Source organism: Homo sapiens, chromosome X, assembly GCF_000001405.40.
Source record: "Homo sapiens chromosome X, GRCh38.p14 Primary Assembly".
Classification (NCBI taxonomy): Eukaryota; Metazoa; Chordata; class Mammalia; order Primates; family Hominidae; genus Homo; species Homo sapiens.
This window is the reverse complement of record NC_000023.11, coordinates 59,937,478-59,958,087: the sequence shown is the minus strand read 5'-3', so window position 1 is coordinate 59,958,087 and position 20,610 is coordinate 59,937,478. Positions and strand designations below refer to the sequence as shown.

The window sequence follows — 20,610 nt, the reverse complement described above, 5'->3', positions numbered from 1 at the left end:
GTGAAGATAAAGGAAAAGGCTTTCAGGCCTTTTCCACCACAGGCCTGAAAGCGCTCCAAATGTCCACTTGCAGATTCTGCCAAAAGAATATTTCAAAACTGCTCTATGAAAAGCAATGTTAAACTCTGTGGCTCGAACACAAACATCACAAAGCAGTTTCTGAGAATGCTTCAGTTTAGATTTTCTGTGGAAATACTCCCGTTTCCAAAGAAATCTTCAAAGAGGTCCACGTATCCACTTACAGATTCTACAAAAAGACAGTTTCAAAACTGCTCCATCAAAAGGAGGGTTCAACTGTGTGACTTGAATGCAATCATCACTCAGAAGTTTCTGAGAATGCTTCTCTTTAGTTTTTACGTGAACATATACCCGTTTCGAACGAAGGCCACCCAGTGGTCCAAATATCCACTTGCAGATTCTACAGAAAGAGTGTTTCGAACCTGAACTCTCAAAGGCAGGTTCATCTCTGCGAGTTAAATGCATTCATCATGAAGAACTTTCTCAGAGTGTTTGTGTTTAGTTATGGGAAATTATTCCCGTTTCCAACGAAATCCTCAGAGAGCTCCAAATATCCACCTGCAGATTCTACCAAAAGTGTATTTGGAAACTGCTCCATCAAAAGGCATGTTCAGCTCTGTGAGTGAAACTCCATCATCACAAAGAATATTCTGAGAATGCTTCCGTTTGCCTTTTATATGAAGTTCCTTCCTGTACTACCGTAGGCCTCAAAGCAGTCCAAATCTCCATTTGCAGATTCTATAAAAAGAGTGATTCCAATCTGCTCTATCAATAGGATTGTTCAACTCCATGAGTTGAATGCCATCCTCACAAAGTAGTTTCTGAGAATGCTTCTATCTGGTTTTTGTGTGAAGATATTTCCTTTTCCACCACAGGCCTCAAAGCCCTCCAAACGTCCACTTGCAGATTCTCGAAAAAGAGTGTTTCATAGCTGCTCTTTCCAAAGGAAAGTTCAACTCTGGGAGTTGAATACAAACATCACAAAGTAGTTTCCGAGAATGCTTCTGTTTAGTTTTTATGTGAAGATGATCCCGTTTCCAGTGAAATCTTCAAAGAGGTCCACATATCCCCTTGCAGATTCCAAAGAAAGAGGGTTTCAAAACTGCTCCATCAGAAGGATTGTTCAACTCTGTGAGTTGAATGCAGTCATCGCAGAAAACTTTCTGAGAAAGCTTCTGTCTAGGTTTGATGTGAAGATATAGACGTTTCAAACGAAGGCTACAAAGTGGTCAAAATATACACTTGCAGATTCTACTACAAGGGTGTTGCAAACCTGAACTATCAAAGGAAGGTTCAACTCTGTGAGTTGAATACAAACATCACAAAGAATGTTCTGAGTTTGCTTCCGTTCAGTTATGGGAAGTTGATCCCGTTTCCAACGAAATCCTCAGAGAGGTCCAAATATCCCCTCGCAGATTCTACAAAACGTGTGTTTGGAAACTGCTCCATCATAACGAATGTTCAGCTCCCTGAGTTAAACTCCATCGTCACAAAGAATTTTCTGAGAGTGCTACCGTCTGGTTTTTATATGAAGTTCTTTCCTTCACTACCACAGGCCTCAAAGCGGTCCAAATCTCCACTTGCAGATTCTACAAAAAGAGTGTTTGCAAACTGCTCTATCAAAAGGAATGTTCAACTCTGGGAGTTGAATGCAATCATCACAGAGCAGTTTCTGAGAATGCTTCTATGTCGTTTTTAGGAGAAGATATTTCCTTTTCCAACACAGTCCTCCAAGCCCGCTAAATAGCCACTTGCACATTGTAGAAAAAGTGTGTCAAAGCTGCGCTATCAAAGGGAAAGTTCAACTCTGTGAGGTGAATGCAAACATCCCAAAGAAGTTTCTGAGAATGCTTCCGTTTAGCTTTTAGGTGAAGATTATCCCGTTTCCAACGAAACCTTCAAAGAGGTCCAAATATCCCCTTGCGGATCCCACAGAAAGAGTGTTTCGAAACTGCTGTTTCAAAAGGAATCTTCAACTCTGTGAGTTGAATGCAATCATCACAAAGAAGTTTCTGACAATGCTTCTCTCTCGTCTTTCTGTGAAGATAAAGGAAAAGGCTTTCAGGCCTTTGCCACCACAGGCCTGAAAGCGCTCCAAATGTCCACTTGCAGATTCTGCCAAAAGAATATTTCAAAACTGCTCTATGAAAAGCAATGTTAAACTCTGTGGCTCGAACACAAACATCACAAAGCAGTTTCTGAGAATGCTTCAGTTTAGTTTTTCTGTGGAAATATTCCCGTTTCCAAAGAAATCTTCAAAGAGGTCCACGCATCCACTTACAGATTCTACAAAAAGACAGTTTCAAAACTGCTCCATCAAAAGGAGGGTTCAACTGTGTGACTTGAATGCAATCATCACTCAGAAGTTTCTGAGAATGCTTCTCTTTAGTTTTTACGTGAACATATACCCGTTTCGAACGAAGGCCACCCAGTGGTCCAAATATCCACTTGCAGATTATACAGAAAGAGTGTTTCGAACCTGAACTCTCAAAGGCAGGTTCATCTCTGCGAGTTAAATGCATTCATCATGAAGAACTTTCTCAGAGTGTTTGTGTTTAGTTATGGGAAATTATTCCCGTTTCCAACGAAATCCTCAGAGAGCTCCAAATATCCACCTGCAGATTCTACCAAAAGTGTATTTGGAAACTGCTCCATCAAAAGGCATGTTCAGCTCTGTGAGTGAAACTCCATCATCACAAAGAATATTCTGAGAATGCTTCCGTTTGCCTTTTATATGAAGTTCCTTCCTGTACTACCGTAGGCCTCAAAGCAGTCCAAATCTCCATTTGCAGATTCTATAAAAAGAGTGATTCCAATCTGCTCTATCAATAGGATTGTTCAACTCCATGAGTTGAATGCCATCCTCACAAAGTCGTTGCTGAGAATGCTTCTATCTAGTTTTTATGTGAAGATATTTCCTTTTCCACCACAGGCCTCAAAGCCTTCCAAACGTCCACTTGCAGATTCTCGAAAAAGAGTGTTTCATAGCTGCTCTTTCAAAAGGAAAGTTCAACTCTGGGAGTTGAATACAAACATCACAAAGTAGTTTCCGAGAATGCTTCTGTTTAGTTTTTATGTGAAGATGATCCCGTTTCCAGTGAAATCTTCAAAGAGGTCCACATATCCCCTTGCAGATTCCAACGAAAGAGGGTTTCAAAACTGCTCCATCAGAAGGATTGTTCAACTCTGTGAGTTGAATGCAGTCATCGCAGAAAACTTTCTGAGAATGCTTCTGTCTAGGTTTGATGTGAAGATATAGACGTTTCAAACGAAGGCTACAAAGTGGTCAAAATATACACTTGCAGATTCTACTACAAGGGTGTTGCAAACCTGAACTATCAAAGGAAGGTTCAACTCTGTGAGTTGAATACAAACATCACAAAGAATGTTCTGAGTTTGCTTCCGTTCAGTTATGGGAAGTTGATCCCGTTTCCAACGAAATCCTCAGAGAGGTCCAAATATCCCCTTGCAGATTCTACAAAACGTGTGTTTGGAAACTGCTCCATCATAACGAATGTTCAGCTCCCTGAGTTAAACTCCATCGTCACAAAGAATTTTCTGAGAGTGCTACCGTCTAGTTTTTATATGAAGTTCTTTCCTTTACTACCACAGGCCTCAAAGCGGTCCAAATCTCCACTTGCAGATTCTACAAAAAGAGTGTTTGCAAACTGCTCTATCAAAAGGAATGTTCAACTCTGGGAGTTGAATGCAATCATCACAGAGCAGTTTCTGAGAATGCTTCTATGTCGTTTTTAGGAGAAGATATTTCCTTTTCCAACACAGTCCTCCAAGCCCGCTAAATATCCACTTGCACATTGTAGAAAAAGTGTGTCGAAGCTGCGCTATCAAAGGGAAAATTCAACTCTGTGAGGTGAATGCAAACTTCCCAAAGAAGTTTCTGAGAATGCTTCCGTTTAGCTTTTAGGTGAAGATTATCCCGTTTCCAACGAAATCTTCAAAGAGGTCCAAATATCCCCTTGCGGATCCCACAGAAAGAGTGTTTCGAAACTGCTGTTTCAAAAGGAATCTTCAACTCTGTGAGTTGAATGCAATCATCACAAAGAAGTTTCTGACAATGCTTCTCTCTCGTCTTTCTGTGAAGATAAAGGAAAAGGCTTTCAGGCCTTTTCCACCACAGGCCTGAAAGCGCTCCAAATGTCCACTTGCAGATTCTTCCAAAAGAATATTTCAAAACTGCTCTATGAAAAGCAATGTTAAACTCTGCGGCTCGAACACAAACATCACAAAGCAGTTTCAGAGAATGCTTCAGTTTAGTTTTTCTGTGGAAATATTCCCGTTTCCAAAGAAATCTTCAAAGAGGTCCACGCATCCACTTACAGATTCTACAAAAAGACAGTTTCAAAACTGCTCAATCAAAAGGAGGGTTCAACTGTGTGACTTGAATGCAATCATCACTCAGAAGTTTCTGAGAACGCTTCTCTTTAGTTTTTACGTGAACATATACCCGTTTCGAACGAAGGCCAGCCAGTGGTCCAAATATCCACTTGCAGATTCTACAGAAAGAGTGTTTCGAACCTGAACTCTCAAAGGCAGGTTCATCTCTGCGAGTTCAATGCATTCATCATGAAGAACTTTCTCAGCGTGTTTGTGTTTAGTTATGGGAAATTATTCCCGTTTCCAACGAAATCCTCAGAGAGCTCCAAATATCCACCTGCAGATTCTACCAAAAGTGTATTTGGAAACTGCTCCATCAAAAGGCATGTTCAGCTCTGTGAGTGAAACTCCATCATCACAAAGAATATTCTGAGAATGCTTCCGTTTGCCTTTTATATGAAGTTCCTTCCTATACGACCGTAGGCCTCAAAGCAGTCCAAATCTCCATTTGCAGATTCTACAAAAAGAGTGATTCCAATCTGCTCTATCAATAGGATTGTTCAACTCCATGAGTTGAATGCCATCCTCACAAAGTAGTTTCTGAGAATGCTTCTATCTAGTTTTTATGTGAAGATATTTCCTTTTCCACCACAGGCCTCAAAGCCTTCCAAACGTCCACTTGCAGATTCTCGAAAAAGAGTGTTTCATAGCTGCTCTTTCAAAAGGAAAGTTCAACTCTGGGAGTTGAATACAAACATCACAAAGTAGTTTCCGAGAATGCTTCTGTTTAGTTTTTATGTGAAGATGATCCCGTTTCCAGTGAAATCTTCAAAGAGGTCCACATATCCCCTTGCAGATTCCAAAGAAAGAGGGTTTCAAAACTGCTCCATCAGAAGGATTGTTCAACTCTGTGAGTTGAATGCAGTCATCGCAGAAAACTTTCTGAGAATGCTTCTGTCTAGGTTTGATGTGAAGATATAGACGTTTCAAACGAAGGCTACAAAGTGTTCAAAATATACACTTGCAGATTCTACTACAAGGGTGTTGCAAACCTGAACTATCAAAGGAAGGTTCAACTCTGTGAGTTGAATACAAACATCACAAAGAATGTTCTGAGTTTGCTTCCGTTCAGTTATGGGAAGTTGATCCCGTTTCCAACGAAATCCTCAGAGAGGTCCAAATATCCCCTCGCAGATTCTACAAAACGTGTGTTTGGAAACTGCTCCATCATAACGAATGTTCAGCTCCCTGAGTTAAACTCCATCGTCACAAAGAATTTTCTGAGAGTGCTACCGTCTGGTTTTTATATGAAGTTCTTTCCTTCACTACCACAGGCCTCAAAGCGGTCCAAATCTCCACTTGCAGATTCTACAAAAAGAGTGTTTGCAAACTGCTCTATCAAAAGGAATGTTCAACTCTGGGAGTTGAATGCAATCATCACAGAGCAGTTTCTGAGAATGCTTCTATGTCGTTTTTAGGAGAAGATATTTCCTTTTCCAACACAGTCCTCCAAGCCCGCTAAATAGCCACTTGCACATTGTAGAAAAAGTGTGTCAAAGCTGCGCTATCAAAGGGAAAGTTCAACTCTGTGAGGTGAATGCAAACATCCCAAAGAAGTTTCTGAGAATGCTTCCGTTTAGCTTTTAGGTGAAGATTATCCCGTTTCCAACGAAACCTTCAAAGAGGTCCAAATATCCCCTTGCGGATCCCACAGAAAGAGTGTTTCGAAACTGCTGTTTCAAAAGGAATCTTCAACTCTGTGAGTTGAATGCAATCATCACAAAGAAGTTTCTGACAATGCTTCTCTCTCGTCTTTCTGTGAAGATAAAGGAAAAGGCTTTCAGGCCTTTGCCACCACAGGCCTGAAAGCGCTCCAAATGTCCACTTGCAGATTCTGCCAAAAGAATATTTCAAAACTGCTCTATGAAAAGCAATGTTAAACTCTGTGGCTCGAACACAAACATCACAAAGCGGTTTTTGAGAATGTTTCAGTTTAGTTTTTCTGTGGAAATATTCCCGTTTCCAAAGAAATCTTCAAAGAGGTCCACGTATCCACTTACAGATTCTACAAAAAGACAGTTTCAAAACTGCTCCATCAAAAGGAGGGTTCAACTGTGTGACTTGAATGCAATCATCACTCAGAAGTTTCTGAGAATGCTTCTCTTTAGTTTTTACGTGAACATATACCCGTTTCGAACGAAGGCCAGCCAGTGGTCCAAATATCCACTTGCAGATTCTACAGAAAGAGTGTTTCGAACCTGAACTCTCAAAGGCAGGTTCATCTCTGCGAGTTGAATGCATTCATCATGAAGAACTTTCTCAGAGTGTTTGTGCTTAGTTATGGGAAATTATTCCCGTTTCCAACGAAATCCTCAGAGAGCTCCAAATATCCACCTGCAGATTCTACCAAAAGTGTATTTGGAAACTGCTCCATCAAAAGGCATGTTCAGCTCTGTGAGTGAAACTCCATCATCACAAAGAATATTCTGAGAATGCTTCCGTTTGCCTTTTATATGAAGTTCCTTCCTATACTACCGTAGGCCTCAAAGCAGTCCAAATCTCCATTTGCAGATTCTACAAAAAGAGTGATTCCAATCTGCTCTATCAATAGGATTGTTCAACTCCATGAGTTGAATGCCATCCTCACAAAGTAGTTTCTGAGAATGCTTCTATGTAGTTTTTATGTGAAGATATTTCCTTTTCCACCACAGGCCTCAAAGCCCTCCAAACGTCCACTTGCAGATTCTCGAAAAAGAGTGTTTCATAGCTGCTCTTTCAAAAGGAAAGTTCAACTCTGGGAGTTGAATACAAACATCACAAAGTAGTTTCCGAGAATGCTTCTGTTTAGTTCTTATGTGAAGATGATCCCGTTTCCAGTGAAATCTTCAAAGAGGTCCACATATCCCCTTGCAGATTCCAAAGAAAGAGGGTTTCAAAACTGCTCCATCAAAAGGATTGTTCAACTCTGTGAGTTGAATGCAGTCATCGCAGAAAACTTTCTGAGGATGCTTCTGTCTAGGTTTGATGTGAAGATATAGACGTTTCAAACGAAGGCTACAATGTGGTCAAAATATACACTTGCAGATTCTACTACAAGGGTGTTGCAAACCTCAACTATCAAAGGAAGGTTCAACTCTGTGAGATGAATGCAAACATCACAAAGAATGTTCTGAGTTTGCTTCCGTTTAGTTATGGGAAATTGATACCGTTTCCAACGAAATCCTCAGAGAGGTCCAAATATCCCCTTGCAGATTCTACAAAACGTGTGTTTGGAAACTGCTCCATCATAACGAATGTTCAGCTCTCTGAGTTAAACTCCATCGTCACAAAGAATTTTCTGAGAGTGCTACCGTCTGGTTTTTATATGAAGTTCTTTCCTTTACTACCACAGGCCTCAAAGCGGTCCAAATCTCCACTTGCAGATTCTACAAAAAGAGTGTTTGCAAACTGCTCTATCAAAAGGAATGTTCAACTCTGGGAGTTGAATGCAATCATCACAGAGCAGTTTCTGAGAATGCTTCTATGTCGTTTTTAGGAGAAGATATTTCCTTTTCCAACACAGTCCTCCAAGCCCGCTAAATAGCCACTTGCACATTGTAGAAAAAGTGTGTCAAAGCTGCGCTATCAAAGGGAAAGTTCAACTCTGTGAGGTGAATGCAAACATCCCAAAGAAGTTTGCTGAGAATGCTTCCGTTTAGCTTTTAGGTGAAGATTATCCCGTTTCCAACGAAACCTTCAAAGTAGGTCCAAATATCCCCTTGCGGATCCCACAGAAAGAGTGTTTCGAAACTGCTGTTTCAAAAGGAATCTTCAACTCTGTGAGTTGAATGCAATCATCACAAAGAAGTTTCTGACAATGCTTCTCTCTCGTCTTTCTGTGAAGATAAAGGAAAAGGCTTTCAGGCCTTTTCCACCACAGGCCTGAAAGCGCTCCAAATGTCCACTTGCAGATTCTGCCAAAAGAATATTTCAAAACTGCTCTATGAAAAGCAATGTTAAACTCTGTGGCTCGAACACAAACATCACAAAGCAGTTTCTGAGAATGCTTCAGTTTAGTTTTTCTGTGGAAATATTCCCGTTTCCAAAGAAATCTTCAAAGAGGTCCACGTATCCACTTACAGATTCTACAAAAAGACAGTTTCAAAACTGCTCCATCAAAAGGAGGGTTCTACTGTGTGACTTGAATGCAATCATCACTCACAAGTTTCTGAGAATGCTTCTCTTTAGTTTTTACGTGAACATATACCCGTTTCGAACGAAGGCCACACAGTGGTCCAAATATCCACTTGCAGATTCTACAGAAAGAGTGTTTCGAACCTGAACTCTCAAAGGCAGGTTCATCTCTGCGAGTTAAATGCATTCATCATGAAGAACTTTCTCAGAGTGTTTGTGTTTAGTTATGGGAAATTATTCCCGTTTCCAACGAAATCCTCAGAGAGCTCCAAATATCCACCTGCAGATTCTACCAAAAGTGTATTTGGAAACTGCTCCATCAAAAGGCATGTTCAGCTCTGTGAGTGAAACTCCATCATCACAAAGAATATTCTGAGAATGCTTCCGTTTGCCTTTTATATGAAGTTCCTTCCTATACGACCGTAGGCCTCAAAGCAGTCCAAATCTCCATTTGCAGATTCTACAAAAAGAGTGATTCCAATCTGCTCTATCAATAGGATTGTTCAACTCCATGAGTTGAATGCCATCCTCACAAAGTCGTTTCTGAGAATGCTTCTATCTAGTTTTAATGTGAAGATATTTCCTTTTCCACCACAGGCCTCAAAGCCCTCCAAACGTCCACTTGCAGATTCTCGAAAAAGAGTGTTTCATAGCTGCTCTTTCAAAAGGAAAGTTCAACTCTGGGAGTTGAATACAAACATCACAAAGTAGTTTCCGAGAATGCTTCTGTTTAGTTTTTATGTGAAGATGATCCCGTTTCCAGTGAAATCTTCAAAGAGGTCCACATATCCCCTTGCAGATTCCAAAGAAAGAGGGTTTCAAAACTGCTCCATCAGAAGGATTGTTCAACTCTGTGAGTTGAATGCAGTCATCGCAGAAAACTTTCTGAGAATGCTTCTGTCTAGGTTTGATGTGAAGATATAGACGTTTCAAACGAAGGCTACAAAGTGGTCAAAATATACACTTGCAGATTCTACTACAAGGGTGTTGCAAACCTGAACTATCAAAGGAAGGTTCAACTCTGTGAGTTGAATACAAACATCACAAAGAATGTTCTGAGTTTGCTTCCGTTCAGTTATGGGAAGTTGATCCCGTTTCCAACGAAATCCTCAGAGAGGTCCAAATATCCCCTTGCAGATTCTACAAAACGTGTGTTTGGAAACTGCTCCATCATAACGAATGTTCAGCTCCCTGAGTTAAACTCCATCGTCACAAAGAATTTTCTGAGAGTGCTACCGTCTGGTTTTTATATGAAGCTCTTTTCTTCACTACCACAGGCCTCAAAGCGGTCCAAATCTCCACTTGCAGATTCTACAAAAAGAGTGTTTGCAAACTGCTCTATCAAAAGGAATGTTCAACCCTGGGAGTTGAATGCAATCATCACAGAGCAGTTTCTGAGAATGCTTCTATGTCGTTTTTAGGAGAAGATATTACCTTTTCCAACACAGTCCTCCAAGCCCGCTAAATAGCCACTTGCACATTGTAGAAAAAGTGTGTCAAAGCTGCGCTATCAAAGGGAAAGTTCAACTCTGTGAGGTGAATGCAAACATCCCAAAGAAGTTTCTGAGAATGCTTCCGTTTAGCTTTTAGGTTAAGATTATCCCGTTTCCAACGAAACCTTCAAAGAGGTCCAAATATCCCCTTGCGGATCCCACAGAAAGAGTGTTTCGAAACTGCTGTTTCAAAAGGAATCTTCAACTCTGTGAGTTGAATGCAATCATCACAAAGAAGTTTCTGACAATGCTTCTCTCTCGTCTTTCTGTGAAGGTAAAGGAAAAGGCTTTCAGGCCTTTTCCACCACAGGCCTGAAAGCGCTCCAAATGTCCACTTGCAGATTCTGCCAAAAGAATATTTCAAAACTGCTCTATGAAAAGCAATGTTAAACTCTGTGGCTCGAACACAAACATCACAAAGCGGTTTCTGAGAATGCTTCAGTTTAGTTTTTCTGTGGAAATATTCCCGTTTCCAAAGAAATCTTCAAAGAGGTCCACGTATCCACTTACAGATTCTACAAAAAGACAGTTTCAAAACTGCTCCATCAAAAGGAGGGTTCAACTGTGTGACTTGAATGCAATCATCACTCAGAAGTTTCTGAGAATGCTTCTCTTTAGTTTTTACGTGAACTTATACCCGTTTCGAACGAAGGCCAGCCAGTGGTCCAAATATCCACTTGCAGATTCTACAGAAAGAGTGTTTCGAACCTGAACTCTCAAAGACAGGTTCATCTCTGCGAGTTAAATGCATTCATCATGAAGAACTTTCTCAGAGTGTTTGTGTTTAGTTATGGGAAATTATTCCCGTTTCCAACGAAATCCTCAGAGAGCTCCAAATATCCACCTGCAGATTCTACCAAAAGTGTATTTGGAAACTGCTCCATCAAAAGGCATGTTCAGCTCTGTGAGTGAAACTCCATCATCACAAAGAATATTCTGAGAATGCTTCCGTTTGCCTTTTATATGAAGTTCCTTCCTATACGACCGTAGGCCTCAAAGCAGTCCAAATCTCCATTTGCAGATTCTACAAAAAGAGTGATTCCAATCTGCTCTATCAATAGGATTGTTCAACTCCATGAGTTGAATGCCATCCTCACAAAGTCGTTTCTGAGAATGCTTCTATCTAGTTTTTATGTGAAGATATTTCCTTTTCCACCACAGGCCTCAAAGCCCTCCAAACGTCCACTTGCAGATTCTCGAAAAAGAGTGTTTCATAGCTGCTCTTTCAAAAGGAAAGTTCAACTCTGGGAGTTGAATACAAACATCACAAAGTAGTTTCCGAGAATGCTTCTGTTTAGTTTTTATGTGAAGATGATCCCGTTTCCAGTGAAATCTTCAAAGAGGTCCACATATCCCCTTGCAGATTCCAAAGAAAGAGGGTTTCAAAACTGCTCCATCAGAAGGATTGTTCAACTCTGTGAGTTGAATGCAGTCATCGCAGAAAACTTTCTGAGAATGCTTCTGTCTAGGTTTGATGTGAAGATATAGACGTTTCAAACGAAGGCTACAAAGTGGTCAAAATATACACTTGCAGATTCTACTACAAGGGTGTTGCAAACCTGAACTATCAAAGGAAGGTTCAACTCTGTGAGTTGAATACAAACATCACAAAGAATGTTCTGAGTTTGCTTCCGTTCAGTTATGGGAAGTTGATCCCGTTTCCAACGAAATCCTCAGAGAGGTCCAAATATCCCCTTGCAGATTCTACAAAACGTGTGTTTGGAAACTGCTCCATCATAACGAATGTTCAGCTCCCTGAGTTAAACTCCATCGTCACAAAGAATTTTCTGAGAGTGCTACCGTCTGGTTTTTATATGAAGTTCTTTCCTTCACTACCACAGACCTCAAAGCGGTCCAAATCTCCACTTGCAGATTCTACAAAAAGAGTGTTTGCAAACTGCTCTATCAAAAGGAATGTTCAACTCTGGGAGTTGAATGCAATCATCACAGAGCAGTTTCTGAGAATGCTTCTATGTCGTTTTTAGGAGAAGATATTTCCTTTTCCAACACAGTCCTCCAAGCCCGCTAAATAGCCACTTGCACATTGTAGAAAAAGTGTGTCAAAGCTGCGCTATCAAAGGGAAAGTTCAACTCTGAGAGGTGAATGCAAACATCCCAAAGAAGTTTCTGAGAATGCTTCCGTTTAGCTTTTAGGTGAAGATTATCCCGTTTCCAACGAAACCTTCAAAGAGGTCCAAATATCCCCTTGCGGATCCCACAGAAAGAGTGTTTCGAAACTGCTGTTTCAAAAGGAATCTTCAACTCTGTGAGTTGAATGCAATCATCACAAAGAAGTTTCTGACAATGCTTCTCTCTCGTCTTCCTGTGAAGATAAAGGAAAAGGCTTTCAGGCCTTTTCCACCACAGGCCTGAAAGCGCTCCAAATGTCCACTTGCAGATTCTGCCAAAAGAATATTTCAAAACTGCTCTATGAAAAGCAATGTTAAACTCTGTGGCTCGAACACAAACATCACAAAGCAGTTTCTGAGAATGCTTCAGTTTAGTTTTTCTGTGGAAATATTCCCGTTTCCAAAGAAATCTTCAAAGAGGTCCACGCATCCACTTACAGATTCTACAAAAAGACAGTTTCAAAACTGCTCAATCAAAAGGAGGGTTCAACTGTGTGACTTGAATGCAATCATCACTCAGAAGTTTCTGAGAACGCTTCTCTTTAGTTTTTACGTGAACATATACCCGTTTCGAACGAAGGCCAGCCAGTGGTCCAAATATCCACTTGCAGATTCTACAGAAAGAGTGTTTCGAACCTGAACTCTCAAAGGCAGGTTCATCTCTGCGAGTTCAATGCATTCATCATGAAGAACTTTCTCAGCGTGTTTGTGTTTAGTTATGGGAAATTATTCCCGTTTCCAACGAAATCCTCAGAGAGGTCCAAATATCCACCTGCAGATTCTACCAAAAGTGTATTTGGAAACTGCTCCATCAAAAGGCATGTTCAGCTCTGTGAGTGAAACTCCATCATCACAAAGAATATTCTGAGAATGCTTCCGTTTGCCTTTTATATGAAGTTCCTTCCTATACTACCGTAGGCCTCAAAGCAGTCCAAATCTCCATTTGCAGATTCTACAAAAAGAGTGATTCCAATCTGCTCTATCAATAGGATTGTTCAACTCCATGAGTTGAATGCCATCCTCACAAAGTCGTTTCTGAGAATGCTTCTATCTAGTTTTTATGTGAAGATATTTCCTTTTCCACCACAGGCCTCAAAGCCTTCCAAACGTCCACTTGCAGATTCTCGAAAAAGAGTGTTTCATAGCTGCTCTTTCAAAAGGAAAGTTCAACTCTGGGAGTTGAATACAAACATCACAAAGTAGTTTCCGAGAATGCTTCTGTTTAGTTTTTATGTGAAGATGATCCCGTTTCCAGTGAAATCTTCAAAGAGGTCCACATATCCCCTTGCAGATTCCAAAGAAAGAGGGTTTCAAAACTGCTCCATCAGAAGGATTGTTCAACTCTGTGAGTTGAATGCAGTCATCGCAGAAAACTTTCTGAGAATGCTTCTGTCTAGGTTTGATGTGAAGATATAGACGTTTCAAACGAAGGCTACAAAGTGGTCAAAATATACACTTGCAGATTCTACTACAAGGGTGTTGCAAACCTGAACTATCAAAGGAAGGTTCAACTCTGTGAGTTGAATACAAACATCACAAAGAATGTTCTGAGTTTGCTTCCGTTCAGTTATGGGAAGTTGATCCCGTTTCCAACGAAATCCTCAGAGAGGTCCAAATATCCCCTCGCAGATTCTACAAAACGTGTGTTTGGAAACTGCTCCATCATAACGAATGTTCAGCTCCCTGAGTTAAACTCCATCGTCACAAAGAATTTTCTGAGAGTGCTACCGTCTGGTTTTTATATGAAGTTCTTTCCTTCACTACCACAGGCCTCAAAGCGGTCCAAATCTCCACTTGCAGATTCTACAAAAAGAGTGTTTGCAAACTGCTCTATCAAAAGGAATGTTCAACTCTGGGAGTTGAATGCAATCATCACAGAGCAGTTTCTGAGAATGCTTCTATGTCGTTTTTAGAAGATATTTCCTTTTCCAACACAGTCCTCCAAGCCCGCTAAATAGCCACTTGCACATTGTAGAAAAAGTGTGTCAAAGCTGCGCTATCAAAGGGAAAGTTCAACTCTGTGAGGTGAATGCAAACATCCCAAAGAAGTTTCTGAGAATGCTTCCGTTTAGCTTTTAGGTGAAGATTATCCCGTTTCCAACGAAACCTTCAAAGAGGTCCAAATATCCCCTTGCGGATCCCACAGAAAGAGTGTTTCGAAACTGCTGTTTCAAAAGGAATCTTCAACTCTGTGAGTTGAATGCAATCATCACAAAGAAGTTTCTGACAATGCTTCTCTCTCGTCTTTCTGTGAAGATAAAGGAAAAGGCTTTCAGGCCTTTGCCACCACAGGCCTGAAAGCGCTCCAAATGTCCACTTGCAGATTCTGCCAAAAGAATATTTCAAAACTGCTCTATGAAAAGCAATGTTAAACTCTGCGGCTCGAACACAAACATCACAAAGCGGTTTCTGAGAATGCTTCAGTTTAGTTTTTCTGTGGAAATATTCCCGTTTCCAAAGAAATCTTCAAAGAGGTCCACGTATCCACTTACAGATTCTACAAAAAGACAGTTTCAAAACTGCTCCATCAAAAGGAGGGTTCAACTGTGTGACTTGAATGCAATCATCACTCAGAAGTTTCTGAGAATGCTTCTCTTTAGTTTTTACGTGAACATATACCCGTTTCGAACGAAGGCCACCCAGTGGTCCAAATATCCACTTGCAGATTATACAGAAAGAGTGTTTCGAACCTGAACTCTCAAAGGCAGGTTCATCTCTGCGAGTTAAATGCATTCATCATGAAGAACTTTCTCAGAGTGTTTGTGTTTAGTTATGGGAAATTATTCCCGTTTCCAACGAAATCCTCAGAGAGCTCCAAATATCCACCTGCAGATTCTACCAAAAGTGTATTTGGAAACTGCTCCATCAAAAGGCATGTTCAGCTCTGTGAGTGAAACTCCATCATCACAAAGAATATTCTGAGAATGCTTCCGTTTGCCTTTTATATGAAGTTCCTTCCTATACTACCGTAGGCCTCAAAGCAGTCCAAATCTCCATTTGCAGATTCTACAAAAAGAGTGATTCCAATCTGCTCTATCAATAGGATTGTTCAACTCCATGAGTTGAATGCCATCCTCACAAAGTCGTTTCTGAGAATGCTTCTATCTGGTTTTTGTGTGAAGATATTTCCTTTTCCACCACAGGCCTCAAAGCCCTCCAAACGTCCACTTGCAGATTCTCGAAAAAGAGTGTTTCATAGCTGCTCTTTCAAAAGGAAAGTTCAACTCTGGGAGTTGAATACAAACATCACAAAGTAGTTTCCGAGAATGCTTCTGTTTAGTTTTTATGTGAAGATGATCCCGTTTCCAGTGAAATCTTCAAAGAGGTCCACATATCCCCTTGCAGATTCCAAAGAAAGAGGGTTTCAAAACTGCTCCATCAGAAGGATTGTTCAACTCTGTGAGTTGAATGCAGTCATCGCAGAAAACTTTCTGAGAATGCTTCTGTCTAGGTTTGATGTGAAGATATAGACGTTTCAAACGAAGGCTACAAAGTGGTCAAAATATACACTTGCAGATTCTACTACAAGGGTGTTGCAAACCTGAACTATCAAAGGAAGGTTCAACTCTGTGAGTTGAATACAAACATCACAAAGAATGTTCTGAGTTTGCTTCCGTTCAGTTATGGGAAGTTGATCCCGTTTCCAACGAAATCCTCAGAGAGGTCCAAATATTCCCTCGCAGATTCTACAAAACGTGTGTTTGGAAACTGCTCCATCATAACGAATGTTCAGCTCCCTGAGTTAAACTCCATCGTCACAAAGAATTTTCTGAGAGTGCTACCGTCTGGTTTTTATATGAAGTTCTTTCCTTCACTACCACAGGCCTCAAAGCGGTCCAAATCTCCACTTGCAGATTCTACAAAAAGAGTGTTTGCAAACTGCTCTATCAAAAGGAATGTTCAACTCTGGGAGTTGAATGCAATCATCACAGAGCAGTTTCTGAGAATGCTTCTATGTCGTTTTTAGGAGAAGATATTTCCTTTTCCAACACAGTCCTCCAAGCCCGCTAAATAGCCACTTGCACATTGTAGAAAAAGTGTGTCAAAGCTGCGCTATCAAAGGGAAAGTTCAACTCTGTGAGGTGAATGCAAACATCCCAAAGAAGTTTCTGAGAATGCTTCCGTTTAGCTTTTAGGTGAGGATTATCCCGTTTCCAACGAAACCTTCAAAGAGGTCCAAATATCCCCTTGCGGATCCCACAGAAAGAGTGTTTCGAAACTGCTGTTTCAAAAGGTATCTTCAACTCTGTGAGTTGAATGCAATCATCACAAAGAAGTTTCTGACAATGCTTCTCTCTCGTCTTTCTGTGAAGATAAAGGAAAAGGCTTTCAGGCCTTTGCAACCACAGGCCTGAAAGCGCTCCAAATGTCCACTTGCAGATTCTGCGAAAAGAATATTTCAAAACTGCTCTATGAAAAGCAATGTTAAACTCTGTGGCTCGAACACAAACATCACAAAGCAGTTTCTGAGAATGCTTCAGTTTAGTTTTTCTGTGGAAATATTCCCGTTTCCAAAGAAATCTTCAAAGAGGTCCACGTATCCACTTACAGATTCTACAAAAAGACAGTTTCAAAACTGCTCCATCAAAAGGAGGGTTCAACTGTGTGACTTGAATGCAATCATCACTCAGAAGTTTCTGAGAATGCTTCTCTTTAGTTTTTACGTGAACATATACCCGTTTCGAACGAAGGCCACCCAGTGGTCCAAATATCCACTTGCAGATTATACAGAAAGAGTGTTTCGAACCTGAACTCTCAAAGGCAGGTTCATCTCTGCGAGTTAAATGCATTCATCATGAAGAATTTTCTCAGAGTGTTTGTGTTTAGTTATGGGAAATTATTCCCGTTTCCAACGAAATCCTCAGAGAGCTCCAAATATCCACCTGCAGATTCTACCAAAAGTGTATTTGGAAACTGCTCCATCAAAAGGCATGTTCAGCTCTGTGAGTGAAACTCCATCATCACAAAGAATATTCTGAGAATGCTTCCGTTTGCCTTTTATATGAACTTCCTTCCTGTACTACCGTAGGCCTCAAAGCAGTCCAAATCTCCATTTGCAGATTCTACAAAAAGAGTGATTCCAATCTGCTCTATCAATAGGATTGTTCAACTCCATGAGTTGAATGCCATCCTCACAAAGTAGTTTCTGAGAATGCTTCTATCTGGTTTTTGTGTGAAGATATTTCCTTTTCCACCACAGGCCTCAAAGCCCTCGAAACGTCCACTTGCAGATTCTCGAAAAAGAGTGTTTCATAGCTGCTCTTTCAAAAGGAAAGTTCAACTCTGGGAGTTGAATACAAACATCACAAAGTAGTTTCCGAGAATGCTTCTGTTTAGTTTTTATTTGAAGATGATCCCGTTTCCAGTGAAATCTTCAAAGAGGTCCACATATCCCCTTGCAGATTCCAAAGAAAGAGGGTTTCAAAACTGCTCCATCAGAAGGATTGTTCAACTCTGTGAGTTGAATGCAGTCATCGCAGAAAACTTTCTGAGAATGCTTCTGTCTAGGTTTGATGTGAAGGTATAGACGTTTCAAATGAAGGCTACAAAGTGGTCAAAATATACACTTGCAGATTCTACTACAAGGGTGTTGCAAACCTGAACTATCAAAGGAAGGTTCAACTCTGTGAGTTGAATACAAACATCACAAAGAATGTTCTGAGTTTGCTTCCGTTCAGTTATGGGAAGTTGATCCCGTTTCCAACGAAATCCTCAGAGAGGTCCAAATATCCCCTTGCAGATTCTACAAAACGTGTGTTTGGAAACTGCTCCATCATAACGAATGTTCAGCTCCCTGAGTTAAACTCCATCGTCACAAAGAATTTTCTGAGAGTGCTACCGTCTGGTTTTTATATGAAGTTCTTTCCTTCACTACCACAGGCCTCAAAGCGGTCCAAATCTCCACTTGCAGATTCTACAAAAAGAGTGTTTGCAAACTGCTCTATCAAAAGGAATGTTCAACTCTGGGAGTTGAATGCAATCATCACAGAGCAGTTTCTGAGAATGCTTCTATGTCGTTTTTAGGAGAAGATATTTCCTTTTCCAACACAGTCCTCCAAGCCCGCTAAATAGCCACTTGCACATTGTAGAAAAAGTGTGTCAAAGCTGCGCTATCAAAGGGAAAGTTCAACTCTGTGAGGTGAATGCAAACATCCCAAAGAAGTTTCTGAGAATGCTTCCGTTTAGCTTTTAGGTGAAGATTATCCCGTTTCCAACGAAACCTTCAAAGAGGTCCAAATATCCCCTTGCGGATCCCACAGAAAGAGTGTTTCGAAACTGCTGTTTCAAAAGGAATCTTCAACTCTGTGAGTTGAATGCAATCATCACAAAGAAGTTTCTGACAATGCTTCTCTCTCGTCTTTCTGTGAAGATAAAGGAAAAGGCTTTCAGGCCTTTTCCACCACAGGCCTGAAAGCGCTCCAAATGTCCACTTGCAGATTCTGCCAAAAGAATATTTCAAAACTGCTCTATGAAAAGCAAAGTTAAACTCTGTGGCTCGAACACAAACATCACAATGCAGTTTCTGAGAATGCTTCAGTTTAGTTTTTCTGTGGAAATATTCCCGTTTCCAAAGAAATCTTCAAAGAGGTCCACGTATCCACTTACAGATTCTACAAAAAGACAGTTTCAAAACTGCTCCATCAAAAGGAGGGTTCAACCGTGTGACTTGAATGCAATCATCACTCAGAAGTTTCTGAGAATGCTTCTCTTTAGTTTTTACGTGAACATATACCCGTTTCGAACGAAGGCCACCCAGTGGTCCAAATATCCACTTGCAGATTATACAGAAAGAGTGTTTCGAACCTGAACTCTCAAAGGCAGGTTCATCTCTGCGAGTTAAATGCATTCATCATGAAGAACTTTCTCAGAGTGTTTGTGTTTAGTTATGGGAAATTATTCCCCTTTCCAACGAAATCCTCAGAGAGCTCCAAATATCCACCTGCAGATTCTACCAAAAGTGTATTTGGAAACTGCTCCATCAAAAGGCATGTTCAGCTCTGTGAGTGAAACTCCATCATCACAAAGAATATTCTGAGAATGCTTCCGTTTGCCTTTTATATGAAGTTCCTTCCTGTACTACCGTAGGCCTCAAAGCAGTCCAAATCTCCATTTGCAGATTCTACAAAAAGAGTGATTCCAATCTGCTCTATCAATAGGATTGTTCAACTCCATGAGTTGAATGCCATCCTCACAAAGTAGTTTCTGAGAATGCTTCTATCTGGTTTTTGTGTGAAGATATTTCCTTTTCCACCACAGGCCTCAAAGCCCTCCAAACGTCCACTTGCAGATTCTCGAAAAAGAGTGTTTCATAGCTGCTCTTTCAAAAGGAAAGTTCAACTCTGGGAGTTGAATACAAACATCACAAAATAGTTTCCGAGAATGCTTCTGTTTAGTTTTTATGTGAAGATGATCCCGTTTCCAGTGAAATCTTCAAAGAGGTCCACATATCCCCTTGCAGATTCCAAAGAAAGAGGGTTTCAAAACTGCTCCATCAGAAGGATTGTTCAACTCTGTGAGTTGAATGCAGTCATCGCAGAAAACTTTCTGAGAATGCTTCTGTCTAGGTTTGATGTGAAGATATAGACGTTTCAAACGAAGGCTACAAAGTGGTCAAAATATACACTTGCAGATTCTACTACAAGGGTGTTGCAAACCTGAACTATCAAAGGAAGGTTCAACTCTGTGAGTTGAATACAAACATCGCAAAGAATGTTCTGAGTTTGCTTCCATTCAGTTATGGGAAGTTGATCCCGTTTCCAACGAAATCCTCAGAGAGGTCCAAATATCCCCTTGCAGATTCTACAAAACGTGTGTTTGGAAACTGCTCCATCATAACGAATGTTCAGCTCCCTGAGTTAAACTCCATCGTCACAAAGAATTTTCTGAGAGTGCTACCGTCTGGTTTTTATATGAAGTTCTTTCCTTCACTACCACAGACCTCAAAGCGGTCCAAATCTCCACTTGCAGATTCTACAAAAAGAGTGTTTGCAAACTGCTCTATCAAAAGGAATGTTCAACTCTGGGAGTTGAATGCAATCATCACAGAGCAGTTTCTGAGAATGCTTCTATGTCGTTTTTAGGAGAAGATATTTCCTTTTCCAACACAGTCCTCCAAGCCCGCTAAATAGCCACTTGCACATTGTAGAAAAAGTGTGTCAAAGCTGCGCTATCAAAGGGAAAGTTCAACTCTGTGAGGTGAATGCAAACATCCCAAAGAAGTTTCTGAGAATGCTTCCGTTTAGCTTTTAGGTGAAGATTATCCCGTTTCCAACGAAAGCTTCAAAGAGGTCCAAATATCCCCTTGCGGATCCCACAGAAAGAGTGTTTCGAAACTGCTGTTTCAAAAGGAATCTTCAACTCTGTGAGTTGAATGCAATCATCACAAAGAAGTTTCTGACAATGCTTCTCTCTCGTCTTTCTGTGAACATAAAGGAAAAGGCGTTCAGGCCTTTGCCACCACA

The 20,610-nt window shown here is 40.7% G+C and overlaps 1 annotated feature.

The window, feature by feature from the left end:
• Positions 1-20,610: part of a centromere (Linear centromere model derived predominantly from reads generated in PMID: 17803354. This region does not represent an actual centromere sequence, as long-range ordering of repeats and unmapped WGS contigs is not provided by the model. For details of model production, see http://arxiv.org/abs/1307.0035.) that runs on past both edges of the window.